The sequence below is a fragment of the Homo sapiens genome, chromosome 9 (genome assembly GCF_000001405.40).
Source record: "Homo sapiens chromosome 9, GRCh38.p14 Primary Assembly".
Classification (NCBI taxonomy): domain Eukaryota; kingdom Metazoa; phylum Chordata; class Mammalia; order Primates; family Hominidae; genus Homo; species Homo sapiens.
The window spans coordinates 126,319,652-126,344,399 of NC_000009.12; the positions used below are offsets into that span (position 1 = coordinate 126,319,652).

Sequence of the window (24,748 nt, forward strand, 5' to 3'; positions counted from 1 at the left end):
GATTCCTAACAGTTGCAGATAAGGACCGACATTAATTCAAGAATTATTTGTTGAGTGCCTGCTAAGTCCTAGAGTGGTAAATAAAAGAGACAGGGCTCCTCAGGTGCCTGCCCCTGTGAAGCTTACAATCTAAAGAAAGGAAGTCGCTTTTGCTGAATGCTGTCTTTGTACCAGCTCTCTGCGGCACAAAGGCCCTCTCTATTAGGGAAGGTGTTGAAACAATCACAAGTTGGATCCGTTATTCTGTGGGGCCTCAGTGTCATAAAAGCAGGTCTGCATGTGTTTATGGCTTCTTCATTTCAACAGCACTGTTTGTGGGTATCCTCCGTTTATTTCTCACATCCATCCAGTCAAAGTCTTGTGAAAGTGAGCCTGCCACATTTACACACCTGTCCCACAAACATGCTAATCCCACCTGCCTGCTTTCTGCTCCTACCAGCAGGTCAAAAACTGTGCAGATCAGGGAAAAGTTCTGTTTAGCCAGCAAGACTCATAACTGAGGAGATTTTACCCTTACTCTTTCAAGGCAGAATCAATCCATTCTAGTTCCCGCAGATCAATACCAGAAAACAGCCCTAGGAGTAATGATGTATTTATTATCATAATTGAGAGAGCCCTTAAAGAGGGCCAAAAAGGAAGGAAGTGAGTGGTGGGGATCTGAGCTCCAGGAAGCTGCCCGAGTTGGCCCTGGACCTGTGCAGGTAAGGCCTGGTAAGCATGAAGGCCTGCTTTGCACGGCTCTCCACCCTTAACCCATCTCTTTCAGAACAGGTACTATTTGTGGCACTGAACACTTTCTGGGATCTTATCATGTATGAAATGCACTGACATTTTTTCCCCTGATTATAAAGGTCATATAGTTCATTATTAATTTTTTTAAAAACTTAATTGCCTTCTTCCTTGATAATGAAACAGTGATTTTTTTTTTTTTTTTTTTTTTTTTTGTATTGGCCTGGAAATACGGCCAGTCTCAGGAAGTGACTGCCATTGACAAAGCCAATTTCCCATCCTCCCTTGCAGTGAGGAGGGGCAATGTGACCCATTTCTAGCCAATGGTATCTAAGCAGGCCTGGTGGGGAGTTTCTGAGAAAGTTTTTGCTGCCAGGCCATGACATCTGAAGCTGGGGGAGTAATCCTGCACCCATGAGGCAATGACAGAAAAGACATCAAGCTGAAGATGTCAAAGAAGTGTGGATGGACATGTATTCTTAATGGCTTCATTCTTTCTTAACAAGAAGACTGAAGATGATTACTGGCCAGTAAAATAAACACCTACTGTTCAAGCTACTGTTGGTTGAATTTTCTGTTATTTGTATCCATATTCCTAAGTGATGCAAATATGCTAAAATAAAAAATGATAGTCTCTGTGTAAACCATTCCCAAGACGTAGCCACTGTTAAACAGTTAACATTGGGTATATATTTTTTCAAGAATTTTATGCATATATGAATACATATAAATAATCACAAATACATATAAAATTGATGGGCTCATATAATAAATGCATTCTGTTCTAGAACCTCTTTTTTACTTAACAAAATACCATGATATATTTCTATGTCAGTACAGCTTTTTTAAATGACTCAATCTATTGCTAGACATTTAGGCTATGTCCAATATTTTCTCATTATAAGCAATGCTGAAATAATTATCCTTGAACATACATCTGTGTGCACTTGTCTGATTGTTTATTGTGGATAAATTATTAGACATGGACAAAGGGTACACACATATTAAATGTTGACACATCTATCTAGAAAATGTTTATTGAGGGGCTAGTATGTGTGGCACACTTATGCTTAGTGAACAGAACAGATATGTCTCCTGTCTGGGTGGAGCTATTTGTATGCTGGGAAGACTGACAGTTGAACAGGTTAACAAATAGTGGATGGTTCCAAATTGTGATGAGTGATAAGTAGGAAATGAACTAGTGGGGTATGGAAATAAAAGGGACCTACTTAGATAGATGACCCATGAAGGCCTCCAAGAGGGTGACATTTGAGCTGAGAGCTCAAGGATGAGAAGAGCCCAGACCCTATAAGACTGAAAAGAGTGCTGTAGGCAGAGTCACCCAGGGAAGAAAGAGCTTTGATGTTTAAGGATCTACAAGGAAGCCAGTTGGTTAGAATGGCTGAGAGGAGGATGGAGGGGAAGCTGGGTCCATATAGCATGGGACCTTGAAGGCTGTGCTGGAGCATTTAAATCTTATTTTATTTTATGGAAAGTCCCTGGAGGGCTTTAAGCAAGGGAGCACCTGCTGCATTTTTATTATTTATTTATTTTGTTTTATTTATTATTTATTTATTTATTGAGATAGGGTCTCACTCTATTGCCTAAGCTGGAGTACAGTGGCATGATCACAGATCACTGCAGCATCAACCTCCCAGGCCCAAGCAATCCTCCTACCTCAGCTGCCCGAGTAGCTGGAACTACAGGTGTGCCACACCATACAAAGCTAATTTTTGTTATTTTTCATAGAGATGGAGTTTCATCATGCTGCCCAGGCTGGTCTCAAACTCCTAGGCTCAAGCGATCCTCCTATCTTGGCCTCCCAAAATGCAAGGATTACAGGTGTGAGCCACTGCACCCAGCACTTATTATTATTTTTTTATTTTAAAAAAGTATTTATTTATTTTTTTAGAGACAGGGTCTCTCTGCCATCCAGGCTGGAATGCAGTGGTACAATCATAGCTCACTATAGCCTCAAATTCCTGGGCTCAAGTGATCCTCCTGCCTCAGCTTCCCAAGTAACTAGGACTACAGGTTCACACCACCATGTCTGGCTAATTTATTATTTTTTGTGGAGATGGAGTCTCACTATGTTTATTGATCTTGAACTCCTGGCCTCAAGCGATCTTCCTGCTTCAGCATTCTCCAAATGCTGGGATTATAGGCATGAGCCGCCATACCTGGCCTATTATTATTTGTTAATGATTGCTCTGGTTGCTACTTTCCATTGTTTGGGTAGGGCAAAGCCAGGAGACCAGTAAGGAAATTACTAGAGTGGTCTAGGCCAGAAAATATGGTTTGGAGTAGGGTGTATGAAATATACAAATTTGTATGCCTTATTTGTATACCTATATACAAATAGCTCAATAGATTAAAATGGATATTCCTATTATATACAATAGATGTATAATATACAATGGATATACCTATTTTTATAGGAATAGTTATTTAAAAATATACGCATTCTCAGCAAACTAACACAGGAACAGAAAACCAAGCACCACATGTTCTCACTCATAAGTGGGAGTTGAACAATGAGAACACATGGACACAGGGAGGGGAACATCACACACTGGGGCCTGTTGGGGTGTGGGAGGTAAGGGGAGGGAGAGCATTAGGATAAATGACTAACGCAAGCGGAGCTTAAAGCCTAGAGGACGGGTTGATGTGTGCCATGAACCACCATGGCACATGTATACCTGTGTAGCAAGCCTTCATGTTATGCACATGTATCCCAGAACTTAAAGTAAAAAAAAAACTATATCTACATCTATATCTATATCTATACACACAAATAGATCAATGGATAAAAACAAAGCATTTATAAACGGAACTTAATATATGACAAAAGTGTATATTCTTACACTAGTGGCCCATAGTTTCTTCTGAAGTTTTACATTATATTGTAATATTTGTTAGAGCAATATTTTCTCATTATTCTTCCATTTCAAAAATTTCATGGGTATTTCCTCATACTTATTTATCAAGATAAGTTTCTTGTTAGTTTTTTTTTGTTGTTGTTTGTTTGTTTGTTTCTGAGATAAGATCTTGCTCTGTTGCCTAGGCTGGAGTGCAGTGGCGTGATTATAGCCTACTGTAGCCTCAAATTCCTGGGTTCCAGCAATCCTCCCACCACAGCCTCCCAAGTAGCTGGGACCACAGGCACACACCACCATACCTGGCTCATTTAAAAAATCTTTTTAGAGACAGGGTCTCACTATGTTGCCCAGTCTAGTCGCAAACTCCTGGCCCCAAACAATCCTCCCACCTTGGCCTCCCAAAGTACTGGGATTACCAGCATGAGCCAACACACTCACGCCAATCAAGGTAAATTTTAAAATAATTTCATCATGTTCCATCTCACCTCACCCCTCAGATCATAGTGGTTTCTTGATCTGAATTTTACTAAATTTATAAAGTGAGTTGGGGAGACACAGCATCTTTGCACTGTTGAGACTTCCTGCCCAGGGATTTGTTATATTTTTCCGACTATTAAGATCTTCTTTTATGTCCCTCAGTCAGGTTTGTAGTTTTCTTTCCATGGACCTTCACATTTCTTGTTAAGCTTATGCCTAGTATATGCCTTATAGTATTCATTGCTAATGTGAATATGCTTTTTTTCCATCATACTTCCTAAATGGAAATAACTGGTATTTAGTGTTGTATTTGGAGGTCTCTGTAAGTAATACCTCCCTCCCTATTCTAAGTTTGGAACAAACTGGGGCATAGACACAGGAAAGAGACATAAGACAAAAATACTACCTTAATTTTTAATGAAGCTGACTGGAAAAAGTAGCTTTTGCTCTGTAGCTAAGTGGGCTTGCTATATTTCTCCCTGAATTGAGTAGATTTATTTGTGTAGTGGCGGGTGGTGCAGGAGAATAGTATCACTCTGTCCCTGAAACAGGTTCACTTAACCCACAGTGAGAGCGCATGGAAATATTTGCTCTCTGCAGTCAGCCAAATCCAAAAAGAGAACTCAGAAGCATCTATTCTTGTCCACTTTTTCCAAACTCACTCATCTTCCCTTAGAGTGGAGAGAGGCCAGAAGTCTTATTCTAATGGAAGTCCCTCTATATGGAAAAGAAGGCTTCTCCCTTCAATACCATAAGACAGGGTAAGGAAGAAAAAAAAGAATAATAATAATAATAATAATAATAATAATAAGAAGAAGAAGAAGAAGAAGAAGAAGGAAGGAGAAGGCTTCTCCCTTAACATTTAGGAAAACCATTGATTTTGGTGTTTATCTTATAACTGACCACCTTACCAAAGTCTCTATGATTTTTAGTTGATTTTTTTTATTTTTACTTTTTGGGAAACACTTAAATCATAAGCAAATAATGACAATTTTATCTCTTCCCTTCTAATATTTATATTTCTTATTTATTTTTCTTATCTTATTGCATTGGCTTTATTCTATAGCCATTATAGCAGGCATCCTTTTGACTGACTTACATGAGAATACCTTTAGTGTTTCACCATTAAATATGTTTGTTGATGGCTTCTGATAAACTTTGTCATGTTAAAAGTTTAAACTTTCTTCCTATAATAGTTTACTAAGAGTTTTTAGAAATTTATGGGTCATTAGTTTTGAAGTTTATAAAATACTTTTAAAGCATCTATCCCATTGATAATATCCTGTAATTTGTTTTCCTTTAACAATGCAATGCATTTACAAATTCCCTAATGTTGGATTTTTCTTGCGCCTCTGGAATAAATCTTGCTTGATCATGGTGGGTTTTCAGTTGCTTTAATAGTAAACTGGATTCAAATGGCTAAAATTGTATTTAATAGTTTTACGACTATTATATACTTAAATATATAGTGCAGATTCACATATTGAGGATTTATCAGTGAGCTTTAGAAGGTGGTCCTGGCTCAGATGAGTTTGGGAAATGCCAGGTTAAACAAACCAAACAGGTTTCTTTACTCCTGGACTTCACAGAGGCCTTCCTTAATATACGAATACTTATCGTGATTCTCCAAAAGGTACACTATAAACGGCATGCAGCACTTTCTCAAGTTGCCCACAGAAGCCCATTTTCAAAAAATAAATATTAAATTCTCTGGGGACTCGTGTTCTAGGTTAGTCATCTGCAGTTCTTTTTGGTATTGTCTGTTGGATTTTGGTATCAGGGTTATGCTAAACTTGGGAAATGAAATAAAAATTTTTGTTTCTTTTGTTTATTTTTTCCTGTGTAACAGTTTAAGTAACATAGGGATGATCTGTGCCCTGATGGGAGGATAAGGCTTGCTGTAAAGCCATCTGAACCCATGGCATTTCTGAGTAGTGAAGACACTGGGAATGCACACGTGCATGGCTTCCCTACAGGATGTTTCCCCCGACAGCCCATTCTGCTTGGCACCCTTCTCTTTAGGATCAAACAGCTATTATGGAAAAGCCTAGAATGTGTGAAAATGAGACTCAATGCATTAGCAAATCAATGCTGATCACTCCTGCATGGTCCTCAAGTCCTAACGAATGCTCCAGCCTCCTGGCAGGAAACCTTTCAAATCTTGCACACGCTGGCCTCTGCCTGGGGTGCCTGGCTGGGCGGTGTGGGGGGCATGGTTGGTTAAGGCGCAGAGTCCGCCTTTCCTACCAGCCACTCTAGCTGAGGGTCAAGCTCTGGACCCTCCCCCAACCATCCAGCTCCATTTTATCCTTGGCTTATGCCTTCCCCAAGTACTGCAGGGTAGGACTCCTGCTAAAAACTTCTTCTAGATGCTTGCCTGAGGCTGGCCCCATAAACCTGATTCTAGGCTTCTGGGGATAAATCATCTAACTAATATAAGAGAATTGCTAGGCAATTGGGGTTAGTTTGAGACGACTGGCTGAGCTCACCTTAGGTGAGCTGGGGGGTGGGGGAAGATGAGCTGAAGGATTCTAGGGTTCAGTGAAGCCTAGAATGGCTGGGTGGGCGGAGAGTCCTTAGAAGGGTCCAACTTCTAGCCTGAGGGCCTGGGGGCTTCCAGGGATCTGCAGCCGAGCGGAAGACCGGTCTTGCGTACAGCGAGGCCTACGAGAGCTAAGTGGGCTGAGGGTCCCTGGAAAAGACCAGCCTGGGGGCGGGGACCATCGATGCCCCAGGCTCTAGAGGCCGTGGGCTCCCGGGGGCCTGAGGCTGGACTGGGGTCGCCGGCGGGCTCGGGGAGGCCCGGGTGGGCGCACCGGGGCCCTGCCTGCGGCTGACGGGCTGGGTCGAGGGGGAGGCTGGGGAGGCGGGGTGCCGGCCGGGGCGGCGGCGCGGGCTCGGGACGCCAGGGCTCCCTCTCCCTCCTCCCGCCCGAGCCAGCCTCGGGCGCCGGGCGCCTCCCCCGATCCTGAACCAGCGCCAGCGCCGGGAGGCCCGGAGCCCGGCCCGCCGCCGCGGCCCGCGGAGGGAGCCGCCGCCGCCACTGCCGTTGTCGCCGCCGCCGCCAGGCCGCGCCCCGCCCCTCCGCCGCCGCCGCCGCCGCCGCCGCTCTCGGTGAGGCTCGCGCTCGAGCTGCGGCGCCGGCTCCTGCCGCCTGGGCCCCGGGCCCGGCCCCTCCCGCGCCGCCCGGGCGATGAGAAGCTGCTTCTGCGTGAGACGGAGCCGGGACCCGCCGCCGCCGCAGCCACCGCCGCCGCCGCCCCAGCGGGGAACAGTTAAGTGAGGCCCGGGCGCCGCGGAGGCTCGGCGGAGCCGGCCCTGCAGCCGGGAGGGCGGGCGGGCGGGCGCGGGCCCCCGGCCGAGGGGCGGGCGGACGGGAGGAGCCGGGCCGCGCCGAGGCCTGCGGGCTCCGTGCCCGGCCCGCGGCGGGGACAGGCCCGGGCGGCCTTTGCAGAGCCCCGAGCGCGCCGCGGCTGCCGGTGCCCGGGCTCGGCCTGGCGGCGAGAGGCGGGAGAAGCTGGGGGACCCGAGTGCCAGCAGCGCCCCCAAGGCCCGGGCAGGTGAGGGGCGCCGAGAGCCACCTCTGCCCGCGTGAGAGGGAGGCGGCCCACCTGGGCACAGACTGGGAACAGTCAATCGTTTGACCGGCCTGGCCTGGGGTCCTGCTCTCTCTGGTCACGTGGGTGCAGACCAACGTGCACCTGCCCCAGGAGCATCACTGCCTCTGTGACCTGGGCACAGCAGAGAGGACACCTAAACCCTCAGGCACCTGTCTGGAAGGTGACATGCCCAGCCTGGGTACCCGAGACCCAGAGCACCCATCCAGGAACATGGTGGGCACGTCGAGCACCCTACAGTGACTCCAACACCAGCGAGACGGGAGGAGCAGGGGCTGGGACAAGAGCTGAGGCATGGCACCAGGGGACATCACATCCTCAGAGGCAGGCACCAGGGAACGGGGTAGACCCAAGAGCATCTTTTGTCCTCTTTGTTACCAACACACAACTGTTCTAAATCAGCAGCCCTTCTCACCATGAAAGATGAGACTCTTCTGTTCCCTGCCCCTCAACACCTCTTGCACAAGGCACTGAGGAAGACCACAGGAGGGCAAAAGGCAAATGGTGGTTGCCCCTTCCCTGCTTCCTGCCCCCACCCAAGAACCAGAGCCCACTCCGATTGCTGCCACAAAAGCAGACAGCAGACCAGCTCCTCTTAGGGGCCTTTGTCTCTCGTGGTTCCTTCTCAGTATAATCTCATTGTACATTTCTCGACAGCTGGCTGGATCTCATCTCGTTTTAACAGGGCTGGGAAATCTTATCAGCGGCACCAGGAAAGCTTAGAGAGTTAAAAAATAAGCTCTGTGAAGCCTTGACTAACTGAAAAACTCAATGTGCTAGGATGTTTAGTTACAGTAGATGGTGACACCTTTCTTGCTTGTTAGAAATCATGTGGGGTCCTTGGAGATACTGTACCATGCTCAGAATCTTTAAATAGGGCCTCAGAGAGATGAGGCTTCTGCTTGGGACCCGGGCTCCAAGCCCCATGGGAAGCAGTTGACGTGGCGATTACTGGTTCATTTAAACCTAAACTTACCTTCTGTAATCCATATTTTTCATTCCTTCCTTCTAGGCTTTAGGTCACACTCCTAATTTAGGTTCAAGGCATTTTTCTTGCCCTGTCTCCATCCTGCTAGGGACCTTTTACCACTTCCAACTGGAATGTTGTGCCATGGTTATGTGCAGGGAGTTTAGAATTAGCCCTCAGCTTAAGTCTTGGCTTTCCTACTTACTTTGTGCCCTTGGACAAATTATTGAACTTTTCTGAGTTTCAGTTTCCTCATCTGTAGAGTGAAACTAATGATAGTATTCATCTCATGGGATTATGGCGTGATGTAAATGAAATTTTGCAAGAAAAGTCTAGCTCAGTGCCTGCTACATGGCAAGAAGTCAGTAAACGGTAGGGGTCATTATGAGAGGTTTGTTAACGGATGAATGAGAGGAGTAGCTTATTTATTTATTTTTAGAGTTTCTTTCTGTCTGCTTTTTTTTTGGTTTTTGTTTGTTTTTGAGACAGGGTCTCACTGTCACTCAGGCTGGAGTGCAGTGGTACCATCATGGCTCACTGCAGCCTTGAACTCCTGGACTCAAGCGATTCTCCCACCTCAGCCTCCCAAGTATAGGTGCCTGCCACCACGCTCGGCTGTTTTTTTAAATTATTATTATTTTTAGTAGAGTTGGGGTCTTGCTATGTTGCCCAAGCTGGTCTTGAACACCAGAGCTTAAGTAATCCTCCCACCTTGGCCTCCCAAATTCCTGGGATTACAGGCATGAGCCACCACGCCTGGCCTATTATTTAGTCTTCAACGGGACAACCAGGAAGTGATGGTATAGTAGAAAGAACACTGGACTTGGATTTAGGAGCTTGAGTTTGACTCTCAGGCTACCTCCTGGACCCCAGGTGACCCTAGGGGAGTCACAGAACCTTTCTGAATCCCCATTTCTGTAATGTAAAAGTGTCTTAAGAACAAAGCCTACCCCATAAAGCTAATCAGTCAAGAAGAGCTGAAGGAGCTAATGTATGTGACTGCACTTGGCACTGCAGGAGGTGGCGGTCCTCATGAAATTTAAGTGTGCGATTCAGCATCCAGCAGCAGATCATGGTGTTTTTTTCAGGTCCGATGTTTATACAGTTTGTTGCGGGGAGAGCATTAAGAAAAAGAATACAAGAATATCCTGTGTTTGTACATGTTACAGAACCACGCCACCATGTGAGCACACTGCTGGATGCCCTCTCAGGGCCTTGGAAGGGGTAAGGGAGAAGTGTAGTCTCTATCCATTTCATGGAGGATCTTCTCCTGGGGGGATCAGAATCCAAATGGCATAGGCCCCTCTGTCTGAGTTTGCTGGAAGTGCTCCATACTCAAAGGGAGACATCCTTGCCACACTGCAAAATAATGATGGTGCTGGAGTCAAGCATGGGAAAAGTCGAAGGTGCTATTATGATGATGAAGATAACAAATGACTACATGGCTGGATGTGGTTAGGCTGAGCACACTGTGTTGCAGAGCCTCCTTTGCAGGTTGGGTTGTGGAGGGGAGGCCTGGGTTTCTTGAATAGACTCCTTCTCCCCAGGCTGCTCTGGCTCTCACCGAGGCCCACCCTGGCCAGCATTTCCCCAACCCACCCCGCCCCCAACCCCGGCTCTCCTTGGCCTTCTGCTTGCTGGGCTGCCCTAGGGAATCGTGGCTTCCCTGCGCTGTCTGCACTAGTTGCAGTGGGTTTGCCAGAGTCAGGTCTCCTGTCTCCGGCTGCCTGGGAGGCAAAGCCACTGCAGAGTGTGCTTGACATTACCTCCCTTGTTGGGGACATCCTGTGGGCATGCATTTGGTTTACTTGACACGCTTCTGGCGAGATGCAGAGCTTGTCCAGGCAGAAATGTGAGAGCCCTGTGGGCCTGGAGCCCAGGGGTTGCACATAGTAGCTTTGTGGCTCATACTTCCCTTAGGACTGGAGGGCCATCTTGTTGGACCTGTGGCAGGAGTCAACATGAGTTTGTTCTTTCTTTCTTTACACACACACACACACACACATACACACACACTTAAAAAAAACAGATTCTAATCAGCAGAGCAGAATATTCAAAAGAATATCCCCTGATCCTTTAGAAGAGAGAAATAAATGAGTTTGTAATGCACTAAATATGCCTGTGGTGTTGATGAAAATGCAGATTCTAGGACCTCATACTCAGACTTTATTGAGTCAGAATCTCTGGGGAACGGGACCTGGAATCTGCAGTCTTAACAGACACCTTGGGTTATACTTCTTCTTACTGAAATTAGAGACCTACAGTTCTTGATGCTTTCTAAAAAAGTGTTAAATACACGTAACATAAAATTGACCATCCTACTCATCTTTAAGTGCACAGATCGGTGGCATTATGCACATTCACACTGTGGTGCAACTAAGCTCCAGAACTTTTCATCTTGCAAAACCGAAACGCTGTGCTCATAAAACAACTTTGCATTTCCCCCTTTCCTGACCCCTGGCAACCACCATTCTGCTTTGTGTTTCTGTGAGTTTGACTACCCTAGGTAGTCAAACTGTGTGATCCTAGTGGATCATACAGTATTTGTCTTTTTGTGACTGGCTTGTTTAGTTTAGCATACTGTCCTCAAGGTTCATCATGTTGTAGCATATTTCAGAATTTCCTTCCTTTTTAAGGCTGAATAATACTCCATTGAATATGTGGACCATATTTTGTTCATTCATCCATAGATGGATGCTTGGGTTGCTTCTGTCTTTTGGCTATTGTGAATAATGTTGCTCTGAACATGGGTCTACAATTCTCTTTGAGACCCCGATTTAAATTCTTTTGTGTAGATACCCAGAAGTGGAATTGCTGGATCATATGGTAATTCTATTTATAATTTTCTGCGGAACCACCACACTGTTTTCCATAACATAGTGGCTGTGCCATTTTACATTCCCACCAGCAGTGTGCCAGAGTTTCCAATCTCTTCACATGCTTGCGAACAGTTATTTTGTTTGTATGTTTGTTTGTTTTTGGTAGTAGCCATCGTAATGAGTATAAGGTGAGATGTCATTTGGATTTGCATTTCCCTAGTGGCAAGTGATGTTGAGCATCTTTTTGGGTGCTGGTTGGCTATTCGTATATTGTCTTTGGAAAGACTTGTTATTCAAGTCCTTTGCCCATTTTTAAATTAAGGAATTTGTTTTTTTGTTGTTGATTTGTAGGAGTTTTTTATAGATCCACATATTAACTCCTCATCAGATACATGATTTGCAAATATTTCCTCCCATTCCATAGGTTGCCTTTTTACTCTGTTGATTGCCTTTTGCTGCAAATTCTTGATGCTTTCTACACATTATAACCCTGTAGAAACAATATTATTTGCTATTCCGGTTTTATAGGGATGGAAACTCAGGCCCAGTTTAGTTTAACTTGCCTAAGGTTGTACAGTAAGTGTCAGAGCTGGAATTCAAGCTCGGGTCCCTTGGACTCCAAAGGGGGCACCCATCCCATTCCTCTGCTCTGCCTGACTTTCCCCCCTTAGAGCTAATAGCATAAGGAGGCCCCATGGGGGTCTGAAGGAAGGGGCGTTGGTTGGAGAAATGTTCAGTTGCAGGTGGGGAAGTATGAACGGAAGGCCTGGGAATCTCTTCCATTAGACCACTGGGGTGCCCCTTCCTGTAGCTCAACATCATTGCTTAGATCTCAGAAACAGCAGAGAAGTGCAGACAGGTTTTTTAGTTCAGTTTGATTGTGTTTTGTTTATTTGTTTTCTTAAGCATTTTATAAGCTTGTTTCAGAGCCCATCTGCTCCTTGCAGTTCCCCGAGCAGTCCCTGTGTGTTCACACCACGGTGCCTTTGTTGAGGCTGTGTCATCTGCTTGCAAGACTTTCACCACTTCACACACCCCCGTCTTTCAGGGAGGCCAGTTCTTTGCTCACCTTTCCCTGCGTCACCAGGCAGAAGGAAGAGTCCCCTCCTTTGCAGTCCCTTTCTCTTGGGATATTTCCCACAGCCTGTGAGTTCCATGTCTTATTCATTGCTCTATCACCCAGCACTGTGGAGCTTCTCCTTGGCTGTGCACTCTCCAGTCTCAGTCCCAGCCTGAACCAATTAAATGAGAACCTGAGGATAGGGAATGGGAAAGCTGTGCTTCTACAAGCTCTCCGGGGCATTCTTCCTGCAGCCAGCCTGGGCACCCACTGGCCCCTGACAGGCCCACATCCAGCCTGGCTGCACTGAGTTAGATCTAAATCTGGAACTCCCTGGAAGTGCTGCAGTCCCTTCCCCCGTCCTCTGTAAGTGGCTCACCCCTGGGGTCATGGTGTGTGTCCTGTATGGAGGAATCAGTGACCCCAGACCCCGGGCTTTCACTGGAAGGGGTCTGACAGCTCTGCTGTTCCCCCGCCCCTTTATGTGCCCCTGCCCCTTTATGTGGCCCCACCCCTTTATGTGCCCTCTCCCCTTTATGTGCCCTCCTTAATCCAGTGAAACTTGGCAATTTTGAGAGGATAGGAATTTTGTTTGTTTATCCTTCCCCCATTCATTCATAATCCATTTATTGAGCACCCACCATAAGCTGGGCATTGTGGTGGACATAACACACCTTTGAGTAACTTACGGTCTGCTAGGGAAAGCATGTTCTAGCCTTCTGAGAGGAAAGGCTGTGTGTGTATGTGTATGTGTGCACGAGTGCATGTGTGCACATACGTGTGCTAAGACTACGTGCTTGCATGATGTCAGGATTCTGAGTGGTGGCACCTGTCTGACTGGGAAATTGGAGAAAGTTTGAGGGGAATGGAAGATGTGACCCTGGTGTTTTGTTTTGTTTTTTTTTGAGACAGACTCTCACTCTGTCACCCAGGCTAGAGTGCAGTGGTGCAATCTTGGCTCACTGCAACCTCCGCCACCCAGGTTCAAGTGATTCTTCTGCCTCAGCCTCCCGAGTAGGTGGGACTACAGGTGCGTGCCACCATGCCTGGCTAATTTTTGTATTTTTAGTAAAGACAGGATTTCACCATATGGGCCAGGCTGGTCTCGAACTCCTGACCTTGTGATCTGTCCGCCTCGGACTCCCAAGGTGCTGGGATTACAGGCGTGAGCCACTGCGCCTGGCCATGACCCTGGTTTTATTTATTTACTTATTTATTTTTTTGAGATGAGGTCTGGCTCTGTCACCCAGCCTGGAGTGCAGTGGCACCATCTCAGCTCACTGCAACCTCCACCTCCTGGGTTTAAGCGATTCTTGTGCCTCACCCTCTCGAGTAGCTGGGATTACAGGCACCACCACCACACCCAGCTAATTTTTGTATTTTTAGTAGAGATGCGGTTTTGCCATGTTGGCCAGGCTGGTCTCAAACTCCTGACCTCAAGTGATCTGCCCACCTTGGCCTCAGAGTGCTGGGATTACAGGCGTGAGCCACCATGCCCGTGTGTGACCCTGGTTTTAAATGGTGGGGTGGGTATCTGCAGGGGAGGAACCTGGTGCCCTTGGGTGAACTGTCAAGAGGAAGGAGGGGGAGACTGGAGGGCTGATTCTGAGGCTTTTCTCCATGGAAGATTACCTTTAGGTTCATTCCATCCATCCATCCATCCATCCATCCATCCATCCATCCATCCATTCGTTCATCAAATACCTGATGAATACCTGCTCTCTTGTACTTAAATTTTGGACTGTAGACCAGCTGTTTTAGTGTCAGCTGGGAGCTGTTACAAATGCATGTTCTTAGACCAGCTCAGGCCTACTGCATCAGTATCTCAGGGGGTGGGGTTCAGGAATGTCCGTTTTAACGACCTCTTCTGGTGATTTTTGCACATGCTAAAGTTGGATAACTCCCACTCCAGAATGTGGACTTTCCGTCTCATTACTGTAGCCTCAGTGCTTAGCCCAAGTGGCTCCGTAGTCATCTGTGGACTCACTGTTCACGCGCCAGGCCCTCTTAGAGACCGGGAATGTAGGAGGATGCTTCAGGGGGAAGATGGCAAGGTCAGCTGAATTTGAGGTATTCCTGAGCCATGTGGGCAAAGACGCGAGACAGATACCTCTGAGTCTCAGGAGAAAAGCCTGGGTTTGAGGTATTTTGGAAGTCATTAGCATATGGGTAGAATGATTAGATGACCAAATATATGAAAAAAAATTCTCAAGACCCATGTGAAAGTCAGAGAGGGGTGTGGTGGCCTGGCTGGCCTGAAGACAGGTGTTCTGATGATTCTGGCAGGGGCCCCCATTTGCCTGGCACTGAAATTATATTAGTATCTTTACTGTATGAGCACCGTGCCCATCAGGGCAAGCTGTGACTCCTGTCACCAAACACTCAGGAACCATTGCTTTTGGGGCCTCCAGGATGGTTTCATTTGTAGGCATCTGCCTTCTGTTGGGGTCCTTTTTTTCTCCTTCTCTACAGGGGACAATATGGCACCACCCAGCAAAACCTGATGGGAGTGGACATGGACTACCCTCATTTGCAGTAATCATGGGCAAGCAGGTGGTACCCACAGTGTACTGGAGAATGCCCTACCCTCGAGTAATGTTCCCTGGTTTGTGCAGAGTCAGGCCTGTATGGGGCAGGGCTTTGGCCAGGGCTGTGCTGTAGAACTTGATCCTGAATTTATTTTTGGAAAGTGAATCCTGGAACCTACCATTGCACCATAAGGGCTGCAGCAATCTGAACCCTAGTCCTGCCTCATGGGGTTTATGCAAAATCTGTTTGGTAATCAAATGGTTAATAGAAATTTAAGCATAAGGCAGATTGAATACACACGTGCATACACTGGATTCTTCTGTTGGGGGGGAAAGGAAGTGCTCACAATTGTTAGTTCCCGAGCTGGAAAATTCTTTGCGATCTAGGAGAGCTTAGAAAAATATTTGCCTTAGTTGCCCAACAACTTAGCAGCCCTCCTAGCAGCTAGTGACTTGTTGCCACCTGACTATGTCCAGCAGCATTTGTCAGAGTGATTTGACTCTGGCTGGTCACCAGGTAATCTGTCCAAAGTTCAGAAGGTGTCAGGATGCTATCCTGAGGCTCCACAGTGACAGCCTCTCAGTCTGTGCACTGTCCCCCACGGGTGGCCCCAAAGCCAGCTGCCCATTTAACTGGGCACAGCATGGACACTGGCCTCAGCTCTCAGCCTTCTGAGGAGGTAGGTCTCTGCAACTTTCTGTAAGGAGGTGGCTGGGTTTGTGTGTGTGGTGTGCATTGGTGAGGCCTGGCCACAGGTTCCCTCCTTGGGGACAGGCAGTCCCTTGCCTGTCCTTCTGTCCCTTGCTTGCGATTTGCCAGCAGAAAGGTGTCAGTAATCCCGGGGCACCAGAGGTGGGCATGTATTCCTACAGACCATCGCTGCCAATGGGAAACAGGCAAAGACCCTTTCTATGAAGGCCGGAGCAGCAGCTTTTACTGGGGGACAACCCATTTCCAGCAGCTACCTGCTCTTGTGGCGTTTCCTACGGCGAATGAAATGTTTATTCTTCTTCCTTCCTCAGCCCTGTAAGCTGGTATATGTGAGCAGGCAGTTTTTTGTCTTTGGTGCCCTTGACTTTGGATTTCAAGCAAGCTGATCACAAGTTTGCCCTTCTGTAGGGATGTAATTAAGCCACTGGTTTTGTCATTTCAATTACAGTAGCCCAATTTAGCCTGCCCCCCGTTAATACTTTGAAATTACTCTCCTCAAAAGTTGTATGCCAGTCATGCCTTCAGCCCTGAGCAGCAGCGCTGGCTGGCGCCGCTTCTGAGCTGGCCTCACCATGGCAGGAGGCCGAGATGGTGGGAGGCTGGAACGTGGGCCCACTGCCCAGGGCACCTGCTTTGAAGGCAGCGCCCCCTGCCCCCTGCAGTTGTTGCTCCCTGAAAGCACTTTAAACTCCTCGGCCCACACCCCGCTGCTGGAAGAGCCTTGGTGGAGAGAGGTCTGAGCTTTGTTAGTTGGGTTTTGATTTCAGTACAGGAGTTGATAAAACGAGATAAACCCCAGGCTCAGGAGGGCCATGGAAATTAAACAGAGATGATATCAAAGTTCCCCTGAGTTTTCAACTGTGATACAGTAGCTCTGTTTTCTCCCAGACTGGGGCCGGGAGGCACACCTTTGATTCCGAAACAATGTTCAGCATCAGTTAAGCCCAGCACTGCTGACTTTCAGGGATTAAACACACTGTTGTAGTAATTCTTTGATCAGCTACAAGGGAGCAGTGTGCCGTCTGTATGAAGGGTCTTTATAGTTAAAGTTCATTTCTCCGTGAACCCGGGATGACAACCTTGGCTAGGTGCTGCAGTACCGGGAGCTGGGGCCTCCCCAAGCGCTATCTGCAGCACTGCAGGCAGAAGCTGGAAGCAGGCTTGCTCCTGGCTTTGTTGTGTGGTTTGCATGGTGCTCTTTGAGCATGGCATGGTGGAAAAAATCCTTCTAGCTTGGAAAACACTTCACCTTAACCCTCCCCAGCTTTCCCATTCCGTACACTTGTGGGCGCACATACATGTTTGTGTGTGCACGCACACACACACACACACACACACACACTACTATCCTGCCTTGCCGAGGGAGCCTCTCGGGGCAGACAACACTGCCTGAACTGAGGCTCTGCAGCCCCCAGCCTTGGAAATTATCTCACAGAGGCTGTATGCCCGCTTAGGGGAGAGGTCAGAATGGAACCATCTGGACCTGATGACCTGCGAGGTGAAAGTAAGAGGACCTGCTCAAGGTCCAGTCTGAGTCCCTGGCATCCTACCACCTTTATTCCTTACCCAGCATGTATTGAGAATAGACTTAGATTGGCCCAATCCTATAGTTCTGAAAAATTTCAACATTTGTCTTGTCATCCAAAACACTGGGTCAGCTTTGGGGGTTCCCTATAGAGAACTTCCTCGCAGCCACAGCTGGGATGGCACAAGTTTCCCCATTTTGCTTCCCCCTCCTCCTGATTGGCCCTGCAACTTCCAGTTGGTAATGGAGCCCCTCTGAGCTGTCGATCCTGCTCGCACCGTGCCATAGATCAACCTATTCCCTCCTGTGCGGTGCTTGGATCTCCCTCATTAGGCCTAAATTTACCTCCATCCTACACAAACATGGCCTTAGCTCATTTTTATTGTTGTAAATTATTTATGAGGGGAATGTTGAATCTTGAAACTGAGGTGTGAGGAAAATTAATCCCGTGTTACTTTTATCCTTCTGTACTTTTTCCCCCTTGCTTGACTTATTGAGCTGTGGCTAGAGAAAGAAAAGCTTTGGCATTTTAAAATATAATTAGTGTTGAAACTGCTTTCTCAATTGGATGGGATATTGGTGCCTCTCTGCCTAGTACAATAGAAAACAGACCAGACCTAGGGAGGAAGACCAGCCGTCCCATTCCTGGAAGGTGACCCGGCCACCTCCCAGGTTTGATGTGAGCCTCAACTGGGAAGGAGCCTGAGAAAGCTTCTGGAGAGCTGCAAAGCGCTGTCCAAATGCAACAGACCTGTTAGTGTGTTTTGCGGGCAGTTTGGGCTTTGAGATACAGATGGATGCTGGATGAGGAGCTGTTGATACAACCTGGGGTTGTTGCCAGTAGGCCTCCGGATTTGATGTGAGAGGGCCCGCATGAATGGCCTCCTCGAGTCCTTAGCCGCGGGGCCATCCTTCCTGGCTTGAGGCTCCGCGCGGCCTGGGAAATGTGGAGCGCTAGTTAATAAATGGCCTTTTGTTAGGAAGGTCAATTGAAGTGCCGGTAGAGACGCAGTTAAAAGTAATTTGCAGTCAGAAAATATGTAATTCAGGGCAAGCGGCTTTGAGTGATGGCCCCTGCCATGGATATCTTGGGCGTTTCTCATTAAAAGCTGCCTTGGCTGGTGATGGCGCTTCCTGGATGGGTCGACTGCAGCCCGCGCGGCCCGGAGCCATTTGTCCATATTTCACAAAGGCCGCCTCCGTCCGGGGCACAGCAGCTGGGGGGAAGGAGGGAGAACGGCTGGCGTTGGAGATGCTCTGCGCGCAGCTCTGCAGGGCCCTCTGGCAGGCCAGGCCCGGCTCCTTTGTCTGCCTCAGCCGGGGGCCGCCCGCAGCCATCTTTGAACCTTCTCCTGGGCCGCCACAGGGCATTGTGGGAGCAGCATGGCTTCTTCCAGGGCATGGTGACCCTCCTGCTGTTGAGAGCGGACTCCAGGCAGAGGGCCATTGTCATCATCGTACCGGGGAGGATACTGTGACCAGGGGATGTGGCAATGAATCCACCAGCAAATAAGATACTGCTTATTCATGCTTACCCCCACTTCTCTCTCTCCTCCTTTTTCTTTGTCACTTTCTTTTCTCTCTCTCTGATAGTAGAGGCCATACTATCTTAAAAAAAAAAAAAAACTTACCTCACATGTTCTTTATTAAATTCACAGCGTGATATTTTAGCACTGGCAGAATTCGTACATTCTGTTAATGAGTTGTTAATTGCAAAGCATTCTTGGTAACCAACAGCAGGTACCAATATTTTGCAAACTGCAGCAATGTTATTTTCATGTTACCAATACTACGGGATTTTTCAAGTGCTGAGCCCTTTTGATCAATGCCTGCTCTGGATCTGCAGGTGCAGATATTTAATTCTAAACCTTTACTGGGGACATGCACTAAGTAAATATTCACTCAAATATTTACTTAGTGCCTACTGTGTGCAGGAAGCACTAAGCCCTGTGTTTTATGCAGATAAACCTGCCTGGTAAATGAAACTTGAAAACAGAAAATGATGCAGTGATGCAGTGTGGTACCCCCTGCCCTGGCCGTTTAGAAGCTTATTTTCAGAAGAATTAGGTAAAGCATAACTTTGTTAAGCTTTGTTGTAAACAGAAGAGGAGACTGCAGCTGTGCCAGGCACTTCCTAGCCTTGATCGAGGACTCAGCTCCATTGCATTGACAAGTCTGTTTCCGGAGCTTTTTGTGGGTTCCACTGACTTCATGGGAGACTTGCATACAGCATTTTGATTGTTCCTATTTAGAAGGCTGCAGTCATTTTTAATGGCCTCTGCCTTTTCTGATTCTAGGCTAGAAGCAAGAATATTCCTCCTGCCTGCTTAGTGAGGTAGGGTGTTTGGTTTGTATTAGAAGCAGTAACCAGCCTTGAGAGATCTGGCAGACCTGCAGCCAGTGGAGTTTAATTGTTGCAGAAGGAGGTGGAATTTGACTTGCTCTTTTTCACTGCTTGTCCTTTTAAAAGTACTTAGGTTCATTTACATATGGTGTTGCCTCTTTTATTTGCTTTCTGGTGCACTGCCACTCCAGCTGCCCAGACCCAGTGCTCTCTATATTCTACCTTTCTCCTCTGGTCACATCAAGAGGCAGTCAGCAGCAGAATAATAATTCCATTTTCCCTCCCTTTCTCTCAAAGTGCCCAGCAAGAATTATGATCATTGTTAGTATTTGGCTTTGAGTAAGTGCCCACATGACCCGAGGGTAAAACACAACAAAGGGATCTGCCAGTCCCCTATGGAGTGACGCCTATCACATTTCTGACCAGTTACCTGGACTTGTGTGTCCCAAACCCCACCAGTTTTATGTGCTTTTTTTGAGCGCCTACTGTATACCAGGGACCTCTCCAGGCCTTTCATTTACATCCACTGTCTTTGACTCTCTTGGTCCTCACAGCAGCTCTGCAAGGGTCAGTATCATGACCTCCTTTTATAGCTGAGAAAATGAAGGGTCCAGGAGGTTAAATTGCTTACTCAAAGTCACCAGCTAGTCAGTCATGGAGCCTGGACTCCAACACCATTCCTTCACCTGAGCCCAGAACACTTATTTCTGTGTTTGCAACATTCCTTGCTTCTTTGCAAAGCTCTGCGTGCTGAAGGCCTAACCTTGGCTGTGGGTTTGGAAGTCTAGGCCTCCGTAGGAGAGATTGCAAGGGAGAGAGAGGAAAGGTGTTGTTAAGCTTAGCCGTGTCTGACATGTCTTCAGAGCAGCTACTGGTATCTGTTCAGAAATCAAGCAGCTGGATGGCGGAGTTAAGAATGACGTGCTCTTGGGTTTGAGTCAAGCTCACCTCCTGAGAGTAGAGACAAGCTCTCATCTTAGCTCAGTGTTCAAAGCTAACCTGAGAAGAGTGGGAAACAGAGGTGATTTGAATTCTTGACCTGGGGAAAGGGTCACATAGGGTCAGGACTCATTCAACCAGTACAGGTATGTGAAACTCAGGGTATTTGCCCCAAGATTCTGGTTCTGTTTGAGACTTTATATTATTCACATAAATGCTATGTTTGAATTTTGTGTTTTCTTTTTCCTTTGCTGAACCAGGACCAGTCCACCATGCCTGAAGTCAAAGACCTCTCAGAAGCCTTGCCAGAAACGTCAATGGATCCCATCACGGGAGTCGGGGTGGTGGCTTCTCGGAACCGAGCCCCGACAGGCTATGACGTAGTAAGTCAAGATACTAGTTTGTACATTTTGCTCACTGATTCTACAAGTATTTATCTCCTGTGTCCAAGACCTTCTGGCCCTTGCGTGTAAGATGTGCTTCTTCCCTCTAGGAACTTAATCCAGGGAGGGCGTGGAGAGCATCCTGGTTTGGGAGTCAGAAGACCTGAGCCCATCTGGGCCGTTTCCTGGCCTTGACCACCTCTGTGATGGTCATTTTCACCTTCTGTAAAATTAAGGAGTTAGATTCATTGATTTTCAACTTCTGGTTGTGACATTTCGTGAAAAGGATCCAGAGTCTATGAACGACTCCTGGTGGTTTTCATATATTGTCATGCATGTGTAAATATTGTAAAGGCATTGTCCTACGTCTGTGTAGCTCTTTACAGTTTAAAATGTTTCCTACCCATGAACTCATTTAGCTCTCTTGGGCTTTTGGAAGGCTGGGAGGGCAAGTAGCTGTATCACCTCTTTGCTGATTAGGAGAACCCACGCTCTGAGAAGTCAAGTAACAGAGTCCCAGTCCTTGGATATGGTGAATCATCAGGACCAGACCCCCTCCAAGTCCAGTGCTGTGGCTGACCACACCACCACAGTTTAGTGGAGAACTTTCCTTGCTTTTCAGCAGACATCTGTGCTGGTGTTCAGTAGTCCTGATGATTGGAACTGGTTATGTTGTTGTTTCAGTAGGTAAATTCTGATTCGGGTGGAGCTTGCAAAGTACAGAGGAACGTTAGGAGGGTTTAATTAACAGTGGATATTATCATGTGTTCTGAGATTCTAAGGTGGTCTTATGTTTACTTTCCTCACTTTGTTTGTGACGTTTTGTTCTTATTCACTGAAAATGTGCACCAAGAATGCATAAGAGTGAAAGAACACGAATCTCATTAGCCAACACTGAAAACCTCCCACAGCAATTAGAATAGTCTCTGATGTCCTGCAGTGAGGAGAATGTGATGCCTGGTCCAGCAGAAGAAGCCCTAAGGCAGGGTTTCCCAACTTCAGCACTGTTGACATTTAGGGCAAGACAATCCAATAATTCTTTGCTATATGTTTTCCTGTGCATCGTATGATGTTTAGCAGCATTCCTGGCCTCTCCTTAGTGAATACCAGTAGCACCTGTCCCTCCTCCCCCAGTGGTGACAACCCAAAATGTCTCCAGACGTAGCCAGATGTCTCCAGGAGCAGGGGGTGGCTGGGCAGAATCACCCCCCATTGAGAACTGCAATGGTCAAGGCAGATCTGTACTGAGTCAGCCAGTGCTGGGTCCTGGGTAAGGAAGGAGGAGCCTGTTCAAATGCTACACATCCCTTCTCCAACTGTTTGAAAGCTCATAAACATTTTAAAAGTGAAAAAGTGAAGGAAACTTTTCTGACAAACATTTCAGTCTTAGCTGCTGCTTGACTTCAAAGTGTGGTTTGAATGTATAACTTTCCATAAAATAGAATCATTAGGTATGGCTTTGTGCCACGAAACTCTGGGGGAAGCTAATAAAAATGTTCCTGATTTGAGAAGCCAAAGTGTCTTTTGATGAATTAGGGATGAAGCAGCAAGTCATGAATCAAGGCAGGGACTGGGAGTTCCCGCTGTGGGAGAGGACGGGCTCAGGGGTCGCTCTCCTAGGAGGGCTCTCAGGGAGCTTGAGCCCAAGGCAGGGGTCTCCCCATCTTCCCATGCCCTCTTTTGTTGATCTGTATCTTTAGCATTCCGTTTGTACCTTTAGGGTCATCCTGCTTGCCTGGGTAGTGGGTGGCAGATGGCCTTTGATAGTTTGGTTTTCTGGAAGTCTTGGTAAGTCTGACAGGAGCAGAATCTATCCCTATCATTTTCTCCTAACATCTAGCTCAGGGCAGAAGAGCGCAGTGTCAAATGAGTAAAATTAATAAGCACATTTCATGATTGTGCTGTGCCATGCATTTTAGTGGGAGGTTAGCAGGGCAAGGGGCTTGAGCTCATCCGCCCGGTAATTACCCAGCTCTGCACGGCCGAGGTGGAGACTGCCTGGGCTCCCTCTGAAAGCCCTAACAGGGAGAGAGGTGGGAGTCCCCTCTTGGTACTGGCCTCTGGACTGTGTGCAGATAAGCGTCTCGTTCCCCAGAGGTCTGGCCCCAAGTTCAAGGAAGGCGGGGAGGGCATGGTGAGAAGAGAGACTTCTCATTCCTTTTATCTGGAGTTTCATATTAAGTCAATATCCAAACCAAAGTGCAAGGCGCTCTGTGGTGGCTAGGCTGCAGAGATGCTTAGACAGAACTCCAGCAGATGAGGAAGCCCTGCTGCGGATTGGGCCGAGACCTCTCTCTGTCTGTTGTAGCTGCTGTAGGATTAATTTCTCCCTGCGCACAGAGCCCGTTAAGTACTGCCACCACGCAGCCCTGCGAGTTAGGCACCAGATGGACTGGTGGCCCTGAGTAGCACAACTGCTTTAAAATGAGCTTAGGTCCCATTGCTGCTTGAGGTAAAAGGTGCCAAATGTTCATTTATAAAAATTTAATTCAATAACTTCCCTTCTCTCTGGGTCAGGGGAGCCTTCTTAGGCTAGGGGGCTGGGGATTATTTGCTAAACTTCTCAATTTATTGTTCCGACGTCTGCGGTCCTCTCTGAAAGAGCCTCGCTTTTCTGTTCTGCACCCACACTATCTGGGAGTGACTGGTGCTTCTCTCCCCTTGCAGTCAGAGTTGGGGTGAGTCTCGTGCATCTTTGTGATGCCACGTGCCCGGAGTAGTGACTATATGTCATAGATGACTAGTGTTTGCCAAAGGTAGTGCATGCTGTTTTATCCTGGGTGGATGGTCAGTTTTCGAAGAATTGTAATGCTATAAGAAGCACTTCCGGCTACAGTGCCTGTGTGCAGAATGTAACCTTTGATTTACAAGCCACTCTGGGATGTTGCAGTGTCTAAAGGGCATCAAGCTGGACATTACTGAGAATCATTGTTGGGTGTGTTTCCAGCAATACACATTTTACCTTTCACCCACATTCCTTTGCCTTTCTAAATAAATGCTTATGGCCAAGCATGGTGGCTCATTCCTGTAATCCCTGCACTTTGGGAGGCCGAAGTGGGCAGATCACTTGAGGTCAGGAGTTCAAGACCAGCCTGGCCAACATGGTGAAACCCCATCTCTACTAAAAATACAAAACATTAGCTGGGCGTGGTGGTGCGTGCCTGTAATCCCAGCTACTCGTGAGACTGAGGCAGGACAATCGATTGAACCCAGAAGGCAGAGGTTGCAGTGAGCCGAGACTGCGCCACTGCGCTCCAGCCTGGGCAACAGAGTGAGACTCTGTCTCTAAATAAATAAATTAATTAATAAATAAATGCCTACAACTCAGAGACTGAAGCTGCAACACTATATTTATGAGATGACTCTTTTTCCATAAAGGACATGTCTTCTTTTCCTTGAAAATATACTTTTCTTGGTAAAAAAAAAAAAAAAAAATAGCAACACAGAGAAAGTGAGACGAATCAAACACTCCAGAACTTTTTAATTTTAAATTGTTTATCTATCCACCCCATTTTTTGAGTACCTACTATGTGCCAGCTAGGAGCTGGGGAGACAGCGATGAGCAAAACACACACAGCTCCTGCCTTCATGAAGCACACAGTCTGGAGGGGAAGACAGGCAATGATGGTTGCAAATAAATAAAAGATGAAATTGGGGGTAAGTGCTTTGAAGGGAAGTCCTTATAGATGATTTATCTTTCAGATCTAGCTTTCCAGATAATTCTGACAGCATGAACCCCTTGCATCCTGCTTCGAAAAATCACTGATCA

The 24,748-nt window shown here is 47.0% G+C and overlaps 1 protein-coding gene across 7 annotated transcripts in view, besides 5 other annotated features; it reads left to right on the forward strand.

The window, feature by feature from the left end:
* Positions 7,163-7,302: a silencer, noted in NCBI's record as "silent region_20286". NCBI's record gives its function as "represses an Ori minimal core promoter by ATAC-STARR-seq in GM12878 lymphoblastoid cells {active_cell/tissue: GM12878}" and the evidence as "EXISTENCE:reporter gene assay evidence [ECO:0000049][PMID:35858748]".
* Positions 7,178-24,748, forward strand: part of MVB12B (multivesicular body subunit 12B) — a 180,212-nt gene continuing 162,641 nt past the window's right edge. For 5 of the 7 annotated variants that reach the window (NM_033446.3, XM_017015275.3, XM_017015277.3 and 2 more), the window contains exons 1-2: positions 7,178-7,359; positions 20,857-20,979. In NM_033446.3, coding sequence (NP_258257.1) covers positions 7,279-7,359; positions 20,857-20,979 — 204 coding nt within the window. In that variant the 5' untranslated portion in view covers positions 7,178-7,278. Of the gene's footprint in view, positions 7,360-15,554; positions 15,757-20,856; positions 20,980-24,748 lie in introns of those variants that run through there. The other 2 variants (XM_005252297.1, XM_017015276.2) reach the window with 1 other exon arrangement.
* Positions 7,744-8,395: an enhancer, noted in NCBI's record as "H3K27ac-H3K4me1 hESC enhancer chr9:129089674-129090325 (GRCh37/hg19 assembly coordinates)". NCBI's record gives its function as "activates a minimal SCP1, AML or CMV promoter by ChIP-STARR-seq in primed H9 embryonic stem cells {active_cell/tissue: H9 hESC(primed)}" and the evidence as "EXISTENCE:reporter gene assay evidence [ECO:0000049][PMID:30033119]".
* Positions 15,319-15,613: a silencer, noted in NCBI's record as "tiled region #7128; K562 Repressive non-DNase unmatched - State 22:ReprW". NCBI's record gives its function as "represses a minimal TATA promoter and a strong SV40 promoter by Sharpr-MPRA in K562 cells {active_cell/tissue: K562}" and the evidence as "EXISTENCE:reporter gene assay evidence [ECO:0000049][PMID:27701403]".
* Positions 15,917-16,418: an enhancer, noted in NCBI's record as "H3K4me1 hESC enhancer chr9:129097847-129098348 (GRCh37/hg19 assembly coordinates)". NCBI's record gives its function as "activates a minimal SCP1, AML or CMV promoter by ChIP-STARR-seq in naive H9 embryonic stem cells {active_cell/tissue: H9 hESC(naive)}" and the evidence as "EXISTENCE:reporter gene assay evidence [ECO:0000049][PMID:30033119]".
* Positions 16,419-16,918: an enhancer, noted in NCBI's record as "H3K4me1 hESC enhancer chr9:129098349-129098848 (GRCh37/hg19 assembly coordinates)". NCBI's record gives its function as "activates a minimal SCP1, AML or CMV promoter by ChIP-STARR-seq in naive H9 embryonic stem cells {active_cell/tissue: H9 hESC(naive)}" and the evidence as "EXISTENCE:reporter gene assay evidence [ECO:0000049][PMID:30033119]".